Genomic DNA, 15,488 nt, shown 5'->3' with positions numbered 1-15,488 from the left:
TTCCTCAGTCACCCTAGCCACATTTCAAGGACTCAGAAGTCACATGTGGCTGGTGGCTACATATTAGACAGTGCAGACATGGCTCATTTCCACCATTGTGGAAATTTCTACTGGGCAGACTGCTGTAGATGCACTTGACTCTAATAGGGAAGGCCCCAGCCCTGTGACTGGGGAAGACATGAAGGTGCTTCTCATGGTATCAGGCTCCCTGCCTGGACTTATGGTCTATGGATCACCAATGACCTGGGGCCAGACCATTTCTGACCCCATTCCCTGGGGTCAGTTGCAACTGCAGTAAGTCCACCCAGGTCAGAGAAGGAGATCTTGCAAGAGAAACAATCAGAAGGATCACCTTCTCCTTAGACAAGCCCTGTGGTTTCCATGACCAGAAACCACGTTCAAGGTTCAATCACTCTGAATATACATGTCACTCTGTCACATGAGAAAGAGCACTAAAGGGGAGTCGGGAGAGGTGGGGTTCCAGCATAAGTGTTGCCTTTTACCAGCTGTGTGCCTCCAGCAAGGCCCCCCTCTCTGGCCCTCAATCCCACACTAGGTAAACAACCCAATCTTCTGGAGTCCTAAAATTCCACACTGACCCCATCATCATTTCATTCCTCTCTCTCTGGTGTCTTATCTTTCTTGGATGTGTGTGCATTTACAGAATGTTTCATCTTAATCAAGGAAATAATAGAGAAGGGAGGGGAAATTGCCTTGGCGACTCCAAAGTGTGTGTTAACATAGAGAAAGAGCTCTGAAAACCTTCTAGGGCAGCAGAGGCTGTAAGGGTGCTGTTTTCCATGCAAGAATCCAGTAGAGGGGGATGTTGCATAGAGGCGAATTCCTAACAGCCTTTGCCTTCAGCTTGTCATTGTTAGTGCCCAAGCTCAGAGGGGAGGAAATGTCTTTTTCGTCCTTGCGGGACCTCACATCTACTCTCTGTGTACCAGGACTCAATAAGTCTCTAAAAGCCTCTGGATGGACACAGGAAAGCCGCTGGTGTTCTTTCTGTGCATTTAACCCTAATGAATTTTCCCTTCCCATTTCCAAATTACAAAATCAAAGCTATTTTCTCAGGTGCCATATTTAGCAGCTGTCAGAAGTTGGAATCTGGCAAGATCAACAACTTTTGAATAGCTCAAAATTCGCTAAAGTCCCAGATGGGTTTTCCCCTTCTCTGCCCTCCCGCTCCCTTCTCAGAGCCAGCTTTCAGAGTCCACCTCGGGCGCCTGAGACCCAAGCAGTGTGCCTCTTTCAGTAAAGCATGGTTTTAAGGAAATAAAAACACATTTCCCTTTCACATGCCTCATTGCCTTATTTTCCCTCTCATTTTGACAAAATGGGGCTCTGCAGTCCTCCTCCTCAGATGAAGGCTGATTAGCAGCCACGGTCACTAATCTCTCACCATCTTCTTCTAAAAATGAGACTCACCCAGCCTCAGCACAACAACTAAGAGCAAAAGGTTCATCGGAATTTCCAACTCCTGTGATTTCTCCCTTTGGTTCTTCAGAGATAACGGTGAGAGTGAAAGATGTAGAGATGAGAGTAAGACACGCAGAGAAGCCCTGGCTATGAGCGCCCATAGTGGGCGTGGGGCAGCAGCCCTTGAAACTTCACAGTGAGATTCCACAGAAGGGATCTTTCCCTTGTAAATGTCCCACTTACGGCTTAAAGTTCAAGAAGGTAGGCCTGGATCCAGCCTCACCAGCCTGACCCTATGCCAGGCTTTCTGCAGCACTGGGAGGGAAGGGTGGAGAATGCTGAAGACAGAGATCTCCGGCAGTCACACCTTTCATGGAAAACAGAGACACCTGTCTTGATAGGTGAAGCTGTGGATGGTGGCTCAGCTGCTGTCTCAAAGAAAATGTCTGTGATAGGTGGAGGGAGATTTTGTTCCCCAAGGTTGGTTCTCCAAGCTGAATAGACAAAGGTGCAAGAAACAGGGAAATTCTCAAGCAAAATAAGTTGTATTTGCCGGAAAGTCTATCTGAGTGAGAATTCTCAAAATATTTTCTAAAGCTCCGAACTGTTTGGAGAACGTAGCCACAGTATATACAGAAATAAATGCCCCATTTTCATTAGAAGAGCCTGTGTGTATAAAGGGACGCATCCAGGCTTTGGGGCCAGACATTGGTTCAAATCCCAACCCTGTCACCTTCTACTCAGATAACCTCAGACAAGTCACCTAGAACCACTGAACCTCCGTTTTCTCATCTCTAAAATGTAATGGCACCTACTTTTACAGACTTATTGCAAGGAATAAATAAGATAATCTATGTAAAAGCACTCAGGGACCAGGTGAGGTGGCTCACCCCTATAATCCCAGCACTTTGGGTGGCCAAGGTGGGCAGATTACCTGAGGTCAGGAGTTCAAGACCAGCCTGGCTAACATTATGAAACCCCGTCTTTACTAAAAATACAAAAATTAGCCGGGCATGATGGCGGGTGCCTGTGATCCCAGCTACTCGGGAGGCTGAGGTGGAAGAATCACTTGAACCTGGGAGGCGGAGGTTGCAGTGAGCCGAGATCGCGCCACTGCACTCCAGCCTGGGTGACAGAACGAGACTCCATCTCAGAAAAAAAAGCAAGCACTCAGCACCATGCCTGGCATATAGTCAGCACTCGCCAGATGTTAACTGCTATCATTACATTGCTAATAAAATAATACCACAACATTCTTCTGAGTGTAGAGGTACAGACATACAAGAAAATCCTCTCTTTCTACAAGAAATTTCCTCAGGATTATAATTCTGATGCCTGTATGACTTAAGACTAACCCACAAGAAAATGTCATGGGGGACTGTGATACATACTTCCTAAAATTTGTTTCCTGTTCTACCCAACAGCCCTTGTGTTTTTGGAGTTCTAAAACTGAAGCCATGTGGTCAGTATAAATGGCAGAGTATTAATCAACTGAAAATAAATATTTCTGAGATCCAAGGGCAATAAAACCCTGTGGAAGCACCCACCCCCTACCCATTACTCAAATTCAGACACAAAGAGACTGCGTCTGTCTTCATCCTCACCATGATGACCCTTCATTTCAAGCAATGGAATATTTACAGCATCATAGTGGAGCTTGGGGTACAAGTGGGGCATGGTGCTGATAGCCCTGTGTTCGGTGGGACACTGCCCTGGTGGTGGCAACTGGTGCATGCTTCAGTTCTCCTCCTTGATCCTCAGCCACGCTCAAGTCGGTGTTTGCTGCGCAACTCAGCGTCGCTGCTGCCCCTGCTAATGAGAATTACATTGTCATGTAATAAGTACCTTCCTTGAGTCCATGAAAATAAAAAAAAAGTCTTAAAAAGAAAGGAAGAGCATCATTTCCACGTTTGAGGACCTCAAGATTGGTTAGAAATTAACTATGACACCTGCCCCAAGTGGTCAAGATGTTGTCCAATAATAAGTTGTCACCAGGCTGGGTGCAGTGGCTCACGCCTGTAATCCTGGGATTTCGTGAGGCTGAGGTGGGTGGATTGTCTGAGCTCAGGAGTTGAGACCAGCCTGGGCAACACGGCAAAACCCCGTCTCTATCAAAATACAAAAAATTAGCCGGGTGTGGCAGCATGTGCCCGTAGTCCCAGCTACTTAGGAAGCCGAGGCAGGAAAACTGCTAGAACCCGGTAGGCAGAGGTTGCAGTGAGCCGAGATCGCACCACTGCACTCCAGCCTAGGTGACACAATGAGACTCTGTCTCTAAAAATAAAAATAAAAATAAAAAAGTTGTCACCAATAATTGAAAAGTGGGCTAGTTTATTCATTCATTTCTAATCAAGCAGATGCCACAGTGTTATTTGATACTAACATCTGATCTTTGATACTAATATCTGACCTCTCACTTCAAAAATTGGGAAATATTTCTTCACATGGTTCCTCTGACACCGTGAGCCAATGGCCTCTTGCTGGGCACTCATGAGGTATAGAGCCTAACATTATTAGCTTAATAATAACAACTTTTAAAAACCTAGAGAACAATAAAATGAATAAAGTGCCTCAGATATTGCACTTAACTCCGTTCCCTAAGTCAGCAGCTACAACAATGCTGGTTTGAGTTGATTGATCCAGTTCATGGGCAGACCTGAAGCCGGCTCAGCCCCACATTTAGGTAAGATCCGAGGGGCGCCAAGAAACTTACCCTTGGTGGTGGCATTCCAGTAAGTTATTCATATTTTGAGTGAAGGGAGTGGGAGTTTGGAGCTTTGTTTGTTTTACCTTTTTGTAAAGCAGTGGAAACCCTCTTTCAAACAAAATCTCTGAGGGCCCCTATGTAGACGATACTAGCGCATTCTTAAGTAGTATTTACTGTATGCCAGATGTTTTAACTCATTTAGTCCAACAATTCTACAAGGTAGATACAGTGTGCTGTTACTGTTCATACTTTACAGATGGCAAAATTAAGGCACAGAGAAGTTAAATGATATGCCCAACATCACACAGCTGTAGGTGCTAGAGCTGGGTTTCCATCCTGCCTGGTCTGGCTCCAGAGCCCACCCTTTCATAGATCACACTGTGTGACCCCAGTATAGAGTGTTTTTAAGGAGGCGTATAAAATCAGAACAGCTCTGGCTGGAGCTCTGATAGAGGGCGGAGGGTTCCAAGCTTTCTATAGTGACCCTCAGGTACATCCAAGGAAGATGAGGACTTCAGGAAACCAGTGGATTAAGACTTTATCTACCTAAGATCACTTTAAGATCACATTTACTTCTTGAGGAGTAACAAATTAGTGCATTAGTAGGAATCTATTTCCAATTACCAGGGTCTTTAGAGAATGAAACTTAGGTAAGTGGTGACTGGGAGTCCCTGGCTACAGGGCAGGGATATGGAGAGCACACGGGTAGAGGGAGTGCTGGACTCGAGTCTGGACAGTAGGAGGGGAGGGGGCTGAGAGAGGCAGTGCCTCCAGGACAACCAAGCCTCTACTTGACAGGCAAGCTGGAGGTCAGGCTAACAGCAGTGCTTGTGACCAGTATTTGAAAGGGCCTCCGGGCAAGCCACTCTCTGGGTGCTGAACACTAAACAGCAGGTTGGTCCCTGGCAGAGGCATAGCGTGACCAGAGCCGTGGGGGTGGGTGAGGAGAACAGTCTGACGTGAGAGTGTCAGGGCTCCCCCCATGAGGTGACACTCAAAGTTTCAGTTTTTATCTTGATAAAAAGTTTGCAATTTTCACAATTGCAGAACAAATAGAACCATGACTCATATTTCACAATTTGCCTGGCAAATTCACTATGTGATCATGTTTCTGACAACTGCATGTTTTCCAGGGGTGAGGGGACATCAGGATAGAACATTTGGCCCGAGGGGCATGTTATAATGGGGGACAGTGGGACACACATTGCCCCCACTTCATGTCTTAGGTTCAATACCAGAAGCCAGTGATTCATGCTGTGCACAGGTCTCAGTGGACCTGGGAGTACATCACAAATTCTGAGGTATCCATGTGTATATTTTACTGTCTGATTTTTAATCATCTCTGAGCCACATTTTCATCCTCTGGAACTTCACGGGATAAATTACTTGAGGTTCATCATTTAAAAATTTTTTTTGAAATTTGAATAGCATAAGTTTGAGTAGCAACTTTCAAGATAATGTAATTTAAGAGATGATGATACACGTGATGAAATGTGACACTTTAAAGGAACAATTAAAACACCCATTGAAACTGAAAAACCAGAGTTTCGCCCTCCGGTTTCTAACTAAGGAATTGAGTCAGAAGTTCTGTAGTCTTCTGTGGAAGAAATAGACATGAGGGCCAACTCTGTGTCACCCGTAGATAACACCTAGTACCACGTCAGCAGCATGAGATAATGAATTATTATTTGTCAAATGAATGATAAGTACATAGACGCAAATACATAAGCATACAGTCCACACCAGCTGAAATACAGGGCCCAGTCTTATTCTTAGGAATCATTTCCCTATTCAACATGCTAATAATATTTGTTCCTTTTTTTTTTTTTGAAACGGAGTTTCGCTCTTGTCGCCCAGGCTGGAGTGCAATGGCACGATCTCGGCTCACTGCAACCTCCGCCTCCCGGGTTCAAGCGATTCTCCTGTCTCAGCCTCCTGAGTAGCTGAGATTACAGGCTTGCGCCACCATGCCCAGCTAATTTTTTTGTATTACTAGTAGAGATGGGTTTCACCATGTTGGCCAGGCTAGTCTGAAACTCCTGACCTCAGGTGATCCATCCGCCTCGGCCTCCCAAAGTGCTGGCATTATAGGCATGGGCCACTGCGCCCGCCCATTTGTTCCTTTTTAAATAAGCGTTGATTAATCTTGGAAACAAGGTTTATATAGACAGCAGAAACTTATCTTGCAATGGTTATATCTCACATTCGTTGAGCACCTTTTACTCAGATCCCTTGAAATGGTCCAATTTTTGATTCTCAGAGCACTAGTGGGCTGTTAAGCCCCAAGGTAACTGTGATATTTTCCCATATCTCCCAAACCACCCAGTGTGGCAAGTGTAATTTTGTTCATTTTAGGAGATGAAGAATTGAGAGACATCCAAGCCACAAAACAGGAAGGGACAGAATTGAGATCCTAGGCCAGGTTAAGCCCAATGCCCGTGGTCTTTATATCAAGGGCTAACAGCCTTAGTGAAGATGGGGGTGTCTGCCTGCCCCTTCTGCAATGTCAGTACCGTGAAGGCTCATTGAACCTCAGTTTTCATCATGTAGAAATTTGACCCCTTCAGTGCTGCAAGGGCCTCCCAACAGGTCCCAAGTCCATGCTTATTCCCACCCAGGCTGCCCCCCACCTTCAGCCAGAGTGATTGCAAGTCTGGTCAGGTCACTCCCTTGTTGAAAACCCTTTAAGACTGCCCATTACATTCAGAATAAAGGCCCAAATCCCCACATGCCAAAAGCTCCTACCTGACCAGCCCTGTCCACCCCTTTGGGCTCCCCTGCTTCTGCCCAAGCCCTCTGCTCCCCAGACATGGGAATCACTTTCTCCTTCCTGTCACAGGGCCTTTGCATATGTTGTTCCATCTCCCAGAGGGTTCTTTCCCACCACAACACCTTCCGCCTTTCTCTTGTCTTAGCTTAAATGTCCCTTCCTCAGAGAGGCCCTTCATGATGACCTTCTGCAGTGCATTCCAGAGCACCCAGCACCCATCTTTCATTTCACTCATCACTGTTAGATCAGGATAATGGTTTACATAATTGTTTGTTTCATGTCTGTTTCACACATTGCCCAGAGGAGGAGGTATGAATTAAATAATACCTGTGAGGGCAGGAACTCTGTCCATCCCACTTATGTCTATGTTTATTACCAGTGTCTGCTTCAGCACCGGACATGTAGGAGATGCTCAATAGATGCTTATTCCATCCATGAGGCAATTCATCACCAAATCAGGACGCTGCTAATCTAGTTTTAGGCCCAAGATCTTGTAATCTCCAAGCATGTTTACCATCTGATATCTGATTGGTTCTGAGTTTTATCAGAACCAATGTGTGAGAAGCTGGTGGAGCTGAAGTGTAACATGCATTACAGGAAACCACTTACCACTCTGGGATCCCCTCTCCCCACTATGTTTTAATAAGCTTAATAATAGCGACAGCTAACATTTATTAAGTGCTATGTTCTCACCAGTACCTTAAGAGACTTTCATACAACCTAAGTCCACATGGCATGATCTTTTTAACTTAAGCCAGATCCTGTCCAAGCTCTGTTCATCTCCAGAGGCTCCATCTCACTTACAGTAAAAGCCCAAGTTCCAGGCATGGCCTGTAAGGCTCAAAGGGTTTGCTCCTCTCTGACCTCATCCTCAGCACACTCTGCCCATTTCACCGGGCTCCAGCCACACCAGCAGCCTCCCTGAAGCTCCTAGAATACACCTGACAGCTTCCCCACAGGGCCTGTGTGCCTTCTGTACCCTGGGCACGAAATGCTCCTGCCCCAGATCGATGCAGTTCTGGCTCTATCATATGCTTTAAATGTCATCTTCTCCACGGGCCTTCTCTGACAGCCATCCTGTACTCCCTCAGCCCCTTTCTTGCTACGTTTTTCTCCATCACATACCACCATCTAATATACCACTGCTATTACCTGTCTGCTCATTCATTGTCTGCCTGCCCCCTCTGCAATGTCAGTGCCACAAAGGCAAGGATTGTTGCCTATTTAGTTCACTGCTGTGTCCCTAACTGCCTGGTGCATACAAGGAGCTCAACAAATGCACATTCCATGAGTAGATGTTCTCATTTCGTCCTGACATTAATCCTGAGAGATACACACATCACCCAAATACCTTCCTTGCCACCTTTTCTGCCAAGTCTACTACTGCTCCTGTACTTTGCTCACTGGTGGCAGAAAAGACAACCAGGAAACTCAGACCTCGAGACATTCTGGGTTCACACCCTCACCCCTACAAAGCCTGTCTGAAACAGGTGCCCTGTTTCAATTTCCCACTTCTCTAGTCTAGCCAGAAGTGAGTTTCCTTATGCATCAGTCATTCATTTGTACGTTGTTTTCCCGACATTTGCCAGAGACGGCGGCCCCAGGTGAATGAGGTAGGCCCCACCCTTGGGGAGCTCAGAACTGAAAAGCTACCTCCATCTCTCAATGGCCTCTTCAGATTCTTCCTGCTGCACCATTTTCCTGCTCATTTATTTTTCTAATTTCAAACATAGATTTTGTTACCTTTCAAAATATGAGGCATTTAAGAAAAGCAGCATTTTAAAATAGTGCTCATGGCTAGAACTGAGAGAGATTCTTTCACATCTCCCTGTCCCTACCTCCAGGGGCGAAAGAGGTGCAGCTTGTTCTCAAATAGAAAAATTCAGCATTTTTCCAAAGCAGGCAAGAGTTATGTTTCTGCACGTAGGACAGGTTCTGAGCCCTGGGATAGTGGTGAACTTCATCATTTTCATTTCAGATGCCATTTCTCTGGATTCTTTCCCCAGCCATGACTGCTCGGCATTGCTATTAAATCTTCTAAGCATTTTGCCCAATAAACACCCAAAACATGCTTTTCACCCTTGCACCCACTTCCTGTCCTGCATCTACCTCTCCATCCCTTCCACTAGCTTCACATCTCTGTTGTTTTCAAAGTTGTCCCTTGTATTCTGGGCAACCCATTTCTTGTTTCATCAAACCATTCTGTTCTCAAGTCCCTTCCTCTCTTTAAATCCCTCTTCAACCATCAGCAAAATCTGCTGCTGCTGCTTCCTCACAAGGAGGGCCCCTCCACCTCGACACCCTGCCCTGAGAATCTGAAGGGGAAGGAGTAATAGTAGAACTGAAATTAAATGTCAGTTTCAGCTAACCTGAGCAAGGCACACTTTCACCAGAGGGGATCACAAAAGCAAGGGATGAGGACTGCTTGTCCTCTGCACTTATAGACTAGACTGTCAGGGTCAGCACCTGCTTCTGAATAGACAGGGTACGGACTTGCTTACCCACTCAGATTAGAGGAACTATCAGGGCACCATACACTCATTAGTTCATTAATGCAGTCCTTCACGCATGCAGCAAATAGTGATTGCAAGGTTTATTTCTTTGACTGCTGGAGGTTTTATAGTCTTTCAGAATGCCGTATTACATTGCAAATATTCTTGAGGGGTCTTATGTCTTTTTGAATGAAATTTAATTTGATACAATTCAGTTCGTCCATTTGAACTTCCATAGCATTTTGTGACATGGAAAAGAACACTGGACTAGGGTGAAAGAGAACTAGAGAAAAATCCAGCCTATTCTACTTACTGGCTGATTAACACCAGGAAAGTCACCTGACTTCTTCAAGCCTCAGTCTCCCTCGTCCATTAAATGGATGTGATACCAGCTACCCTACCTATATCATGGGAGTTCTGTATCCCATGTACAATCAGCAATCAGCAAGATGCCTGATATACAGTGGCCTTTCCAAAAACATAGAGGAAACTGAAGAGATTCCAATTAAAATCAATCCGTGGTAACAAAGGGCCTTTTTGTTGAGTCAAGCATTACAGAAATGAAAGCTTCATCTCTACTTAACAAAATTTTGTGCATCCTTCAAGGCCTAAGTGAAATGCAGTTTTATTCATGAAGTGGTCCCTCCCTCCAACCCCAAGACAGAAAAGAGCCAAGGAGATTGAGTGGCATCTGGGACATAAGGCCACACCTAGGAAGTGCAGCTCCCTGGAGCAAAGCTCTTGAGAGTTGCCAGGAGAAGGGATTCACTGCAGAAAATGGAGTTTGTAAACCTAGGGCCTGCCAGAGAGGAAAGACAAACCAAGGACCCAGACTGAAAAAGAAAAGGAGGGCTCTCAGCCATGGAGAGCAGACATGGAGCAGAGAGGAGATTTGAGAAACAAAGTTAGGTGGTGTTATGGAGCAAGTAGAGTGGTGTCCAGGGGCAAATAGACACTGAGTGCTTGGAATATTCTCCTGCAGCTGAATCACGCTGGACAGAAACCATCCCACCCTTTCTCAAATCCCATAGCACTTTGTACTTCTCAGGGCACTGCCCAAACTGCCTGTCTTTACGAGTCTTTGAGGATGTGCGTATCTTCCCTCCCCTACCAGAATATAAATTCTTTGAAGGCAAGAGCCAGGTCTCACACCCTTTGTACACCCTTCCCAGCCCACACCTAATGCCTAGACCAGTGTCCTGCATATGATCAGTATAATAAATATTTGTGGTGGATTAATAAAATCATTACACTCTTTGGTTTCATATATGACCAAATAAAACACGACCCAAAATACTACTGAACCTTAAAAACTAGTTGTGCACAGGTACCCTGGAACTTAAAGTACGATAATTAAAAAAAAAAACTAGTCTACTCCTGTAGCTTTATCAGCTGGGTTTTGAACTTTCTCTCTATCCTTGAACACTTTACAGCATACTTAATTTTGTTATATAACAAAATCACTGCTCACTTAACTATGTGTTTCATACCAAAGAGTGTAAGCATGAGTACCATTTATTGGACATAATAGCAAAATAGCTACCTGTTGGCCAAATGCATTTGCCACCCCTTCAGAGTGTAAGCTATTGCTAAAAGGTGGCTGCTACACTAAGACTACATTTCCCAGCTCTTCTTGCACTCGGGGGAGGCCACGAAACTAGTACTCATCAATGGAATGTCAGTGAAACTAGATAAGTCTCATCTCTAGGCCAGGAATTTTAAGAAACAGTTAAAGCTTCTACACTCTCTCCTTCCTCTTTGCCACCTGGAAGCAGAGACTTTGAGGTTTCAGGGGATGCAGAAGTCACAAGATGAAAGCCACAATCCCTGAGTGACCACAGGGAGAAAAGCCCTCTGCTTTCTGTATTTAGATGGACAAAGGGAAATTGCAAGATGGAAGCCTGTATCCCTGAGTCACCACATGAAGGAAAGCTCCAGCTTTCTCCATTTGGTCTATCACATAGGCAAGAAAAAAACTTTAATTATGTTAGCCACTGGAATTTGGCATTTAATTGTTAGAAAAGCTAGTGTCACCTTAACTAACACAACTACCTATTGTATGGCAGGTGATTCACACAAATTACTTTCATAGAACACTTGAAACAGTCTTGCATGGTAGGTATGATCACTATCCTTTTTATTTTGCAAATAAGTAAACCAAGACACAGAGAGGTTAAGTTACAAAGGTTAAGTTAAGAAAGGTTGTCACAGCTAGTAGGTGCTGGAGCTAGAATTTCACTGAGATTTGTCTGGCCTCAAATGCTGTGTTTTCTCCCACGACATCATACTACCTCTCATTTATCAGTGATCTTAGACTCTGCCTTTGACATCATTTTTAAATTAGGGGTTTCTGGCCTGATTCTGACCTACACTTTTTAGAAGCAGTTGACATATATGTCTCTGCTTTCCTTCACTGAACTCCGACCATCACCTGGAAAAATTATGTCTTCCAAGCCCTGGAGTGTTCCCAAAGACTTTAATTTCTTCCTCACCTGTTTTGACACAATTCTTTTACTATCAGAATTGAATTCTTTCTCTAAGCAAATATTTAAGCTTTATACTGCTTGACTTCCATTTTTTCACCAGTTGGGAAGGGTAAGAAGACAATTCATTCTGGGTTTAGAGTGGGGGACAAGAAAGAGAGTGGGGGAAAAGGGAAATTGTATGGGTTCATCAAATCCTACCTGGTCCTTGCTTGTTTCAGAAAACCCTCTCAGACATCTTGTTGATAAAATTTATGCCACCCACGATTATGTCTGTGTTAGTTCTGTTTCTCTCTCACTTTCCTACTGAGGGATAAAAAAGTTCAAATGACTTATCCAGAGTCATACAGTATCAGTGGACAGAACTGGAAAGCAAATTATATTGACATGAAAAGAAATAGAAAGTAAGTCAATACATAAACTCATCTGCAAAAAGGAGCTTGTAGAAATTGGGTACTTTTTTTGGATTCTTTACATATAAAATGCCAGTTATCCAATGTAGAAAGAAAAAAGAGTAGGCAGCCCCAATGTGTAAGTAATTGAAACCAGCTCCTTTAGCTACTGGGTGAGTAATCTTTCTAAAATGTATATACGTGTTGACTTCTTAAACCATATTAACTATTCTTAGTGACTCAAGATAAAAACCAATTGTTGAATTAGATTGTTAGAGGATGATGCCTTCAGAGGATAATGAAGAAAACAAGGCTTCTTATACTAAATATTCTCGAAGTATTACTGGTTCAGTGCACTCCAGGAGAGCAGAGATTTTGTCTTTAGCTAAAGCACCTGGACCTGCCTGGCACATAGTAGTTGTGCAATAAACATTTGTTTAATGATTGAATAAATGGATGAGTGTTTTGCTTTCTAATCATTTCATCTCCTCCCTTTATATCAGGTTCTTTGTTGTCATCATTCCCTATGCCCTTAACTTGCTATTTCTAATCTGTTGTGGGTCGAGAAACTTAAAATAAATTACATAGATAAGAGAAATTGTAATATAGCTCAGTAGAACTTCTAGAACTTTCTGCATGATGGAAATGTTCTATGTACCCTGTGTACTTACCACTTTTGAACATTTGAAGTACAGCTAGTTTAGCTAAGAAACTGAGCTTTAAATTTTATCTAATTTTAATTAATTTAAATTAAATAAAATAACTTTATGTGACCATTGGGTACTGTACTAGACAGCACAGGTTTTGAACTAAGTGCTAAATAAAAGAAGGACTTGTCTGAGGGCCAGGGGATGGAGATTTTGAAAACTGTGCAGTCTTTTTTTTTTTTTAACTTCCACCCTGTTATGAACGAGTAATGAAGCAGGTCACAGGGCTCTGCAGGATGCATAGGAGTGGAGTTGGGCAGGTTGATTTGGCTCAAGTTGCACAGTTTTGCCTCAGTGATAATATTTAGAAGGGCTGAAAGTGACAAGTGGAAAAAGCTCTGTCAGGGATGTTCAGAGGCCAGGTGAAGCCAGAGGAAAAAGCTGGTCTATTCAGGGAGACATCCAGCATGACCTGACACCTTCTATCCCTGATCACTCAAGGCGGACAGCACTGCAGTTACGTGGAGTTGTGTTTGTGTTTGTTTGTGTGCATTTTTTTTTTTGAGATGGAGTTTCACTTTTGTTGCCCAGGCTGGAATGCAATGGCACAATCTCAGCTCACTGCAACCTCTGCCTCCCAGGTTCAAATGATTCTCCTGCCTCAGCCTCCCAAGTAGCTGGGATTACAGGCATGCGCCACCATGCCTGGCTAATTTTGTATTTTTAGTAGAGATAGGGTTTCTCCGTGTTGGTCAGGCTGGTCTTGAACTCCCGACCTCAGGTGATCTGCCTGCCTCGGCCTCCCAAAGTGCAGGGATTACAGGCGTGAGCCACCTCAACCGGCCCATTTGTGTGCATTTTAAATCCCCAGACTTTCTCACGATATTTTTTAACACAGGGCTTCAAGCAATCAGTATGGTTTAAAAGCTCTTCTGTCTCTATCCTAAAGAGAAAGAATCACCCTACCTTAGTCAGGAGGTCTATTATCTGACTACTAAGGAGCATTTCTGGAGCTTCTATGTCCTGCAGGGATGATTTGGAGGCTTTCTGAGTAGAATGGAGGCAGCTGTGCTCACTGGAGGGAGTCCACCCTTTGCATCTTTGTCCTAGGTTCCCCTGGAGCTAGAACAATCTCAGCCATCTAGACCTCAAGGAACTCACACTGAATTCAATGTCTATTGTCTGCAGAAATGGCATCTGCCGATCTCTATGCAGGGAAAGAGTCTCAGTGGCTGAATATTGTCACATACATATCTTTTTTGCTGGTCTAGAGGACATTGCTTATATGCGACCTGCAGGCGCACACCACTGATCTCACCCACTTACTTCCTAATAAAAGAAACAAATTTGGTCTTAACCACACACACTGTAGCACCAGGTCCTGTTTCATGATCAAATCCATGCAATTCTTCTGTTTTCAAAATATATATCTATATCTATGCATAGATATAGATGCATATGTGTATGTAATATAAAAGCAATAATTGATCATTAAAGAAAATGTAAAGATGAACAAAGGCATTCAAATACCCTTATCCAAAGACAACCTCAGTTAACACTTTGTTGTATTTCTTACCTGCCAGTCCTCTATGCATAGATGAGGGATTTTCCCTTCTTAACCTTGTTGCAAGCGTTTTATATTCTGCATCTTTCTTTTTGTTATATCATGAGCATTTTCCTTGTAATCATACAGACTTAGCAGATATCTTTTGTAAAGCCTGCAAAGTATTCTGTTAAGTGGAGTTAACATACATACTTAATCATTCCCCTCTTGGAAAAGCATTTATTTTCTAACACTGCCCTTTTATAAATTATGATAGCAAATAATTTTGTGTTCAAAGGCTTGTCTCCACACATACCAGCTTTGGAATATTCTCCTTGAGATAGAAGCGTAGAAGTAGAATATCTGAGTCCAGAGTCATGAGCATGTATTAAAATTAAAGTCACATATTTCCAAGAGTCAAGGTTCAGGGTAAACGAGCAAAGCCAAGTTCACAAGCTGATAATCATTTGACCTCAGTATTCTAGCTCAGAATTTCCCAAACATAAGACCTGCTGCAACAGGAGTGCCCGGGCATTTATTTACAACCCAGATTCCCAATGAAATAGGAGAGTTCCCTGACCCCCTCCTGGGACTTTTGACAGGAGTGTGGCTCATTTGCTTGGCTGCAACACCTCAAACCCTTTACAGGAGGGAGAGCATGCAGACGGGCAGGTGCAGGAGCCGGGGTAAGCGCTTTTGGGCTCCGGCCTCATGGTAGCATCTAGGGAGGTGTTACAAAAATGCTCTTTCAGTACTTACCAGCCACGGATGGCTAAGTGGTAAACCAGCTCAGTGTATAGTCAGGGTGCCGTCCTTTTATACCCTGCCCTCTTGGTACCTGGGTCCTTGTTTGGTGGCCAGAAAGAATCAGGTCACATGGACTTGAAGGATGGTGAATATGGGGATTTTTATTGAGTGAAGGGGGTGGCTCTCAGTGGGATGGAGTGGGAAAATGATCTTCCCATGGGGTTTGGCTGTCCTGCGGCCAATCTCCTCTCTGACCATCCCCAGCCAAGCTCCTCTTGATGTTCA

At 44.0% G+C, this 15,488-nt stretch overlaps 3 annotated features.

Annotated features, from left to right (window-relative positions):
• Positions 710 to 1,004: a silencer, noted in NCBI's record as "tiled region #1586; HepG2 Repressive DNase unmatched - State 12:CtcfO". NCBI's record gives its function as "represses a minimal TATA promoter and a strong SV40 promoter by Sharpr-MPRA in HepG2 cells {active_cell/tissue: HepG2}" and the evidence as "EXISTENCE:reporter gene assay evidence [ECO:0000049][PMID:27701403]".
• Positions 9,173 to 9,222: a silencer, noted in NCBI's record as "silent region_17267". NCBI's record gives its function as "represses an Ori minimal core promoter by ATAC-STARR-seq in GM12878 lymphoblastoid cells {active_cell/tissue: GM12878}" and the evidence as "EXISTENCE:reporter gene assay evidence [ECO:0000049][PMID:35858748]".
• Positions 13,724 to 14,231: an enhancer, noted in NCBI's record as "NANOG hESC enhancer chr6:45669242-45669749 (GRCh37/hg19 assembly coordinates)". NCBI's record gives its function as "activates a minimal SCP1, AML or CMV promoter by ChIP-STARR-seq in naive H9 embryonic stem cells {active_cell/tissue: H9 hESC(naive)}" and the evidence as "EXISTENCE:reporter gene assay evidence [ECO:0000049][PMID:30033119]".

This window comes from Homo sapiens, chromosome 6 (genome assembly GCF_000001405.40).
Source record: "Homo sapiens chromosome 6, GRCh38.p14 Primary Assembly".
Classification (NCBI taxonomy): Eukaryota; Metazoa; Chordata; class Mammalia; order Primates; family Hominidae; genus Homo; species Homo sapiens.
Note: the sequence above shows the minus strand (reverse complement) of the source record. Positions and strands in the feature narration are given on the sequence as shown.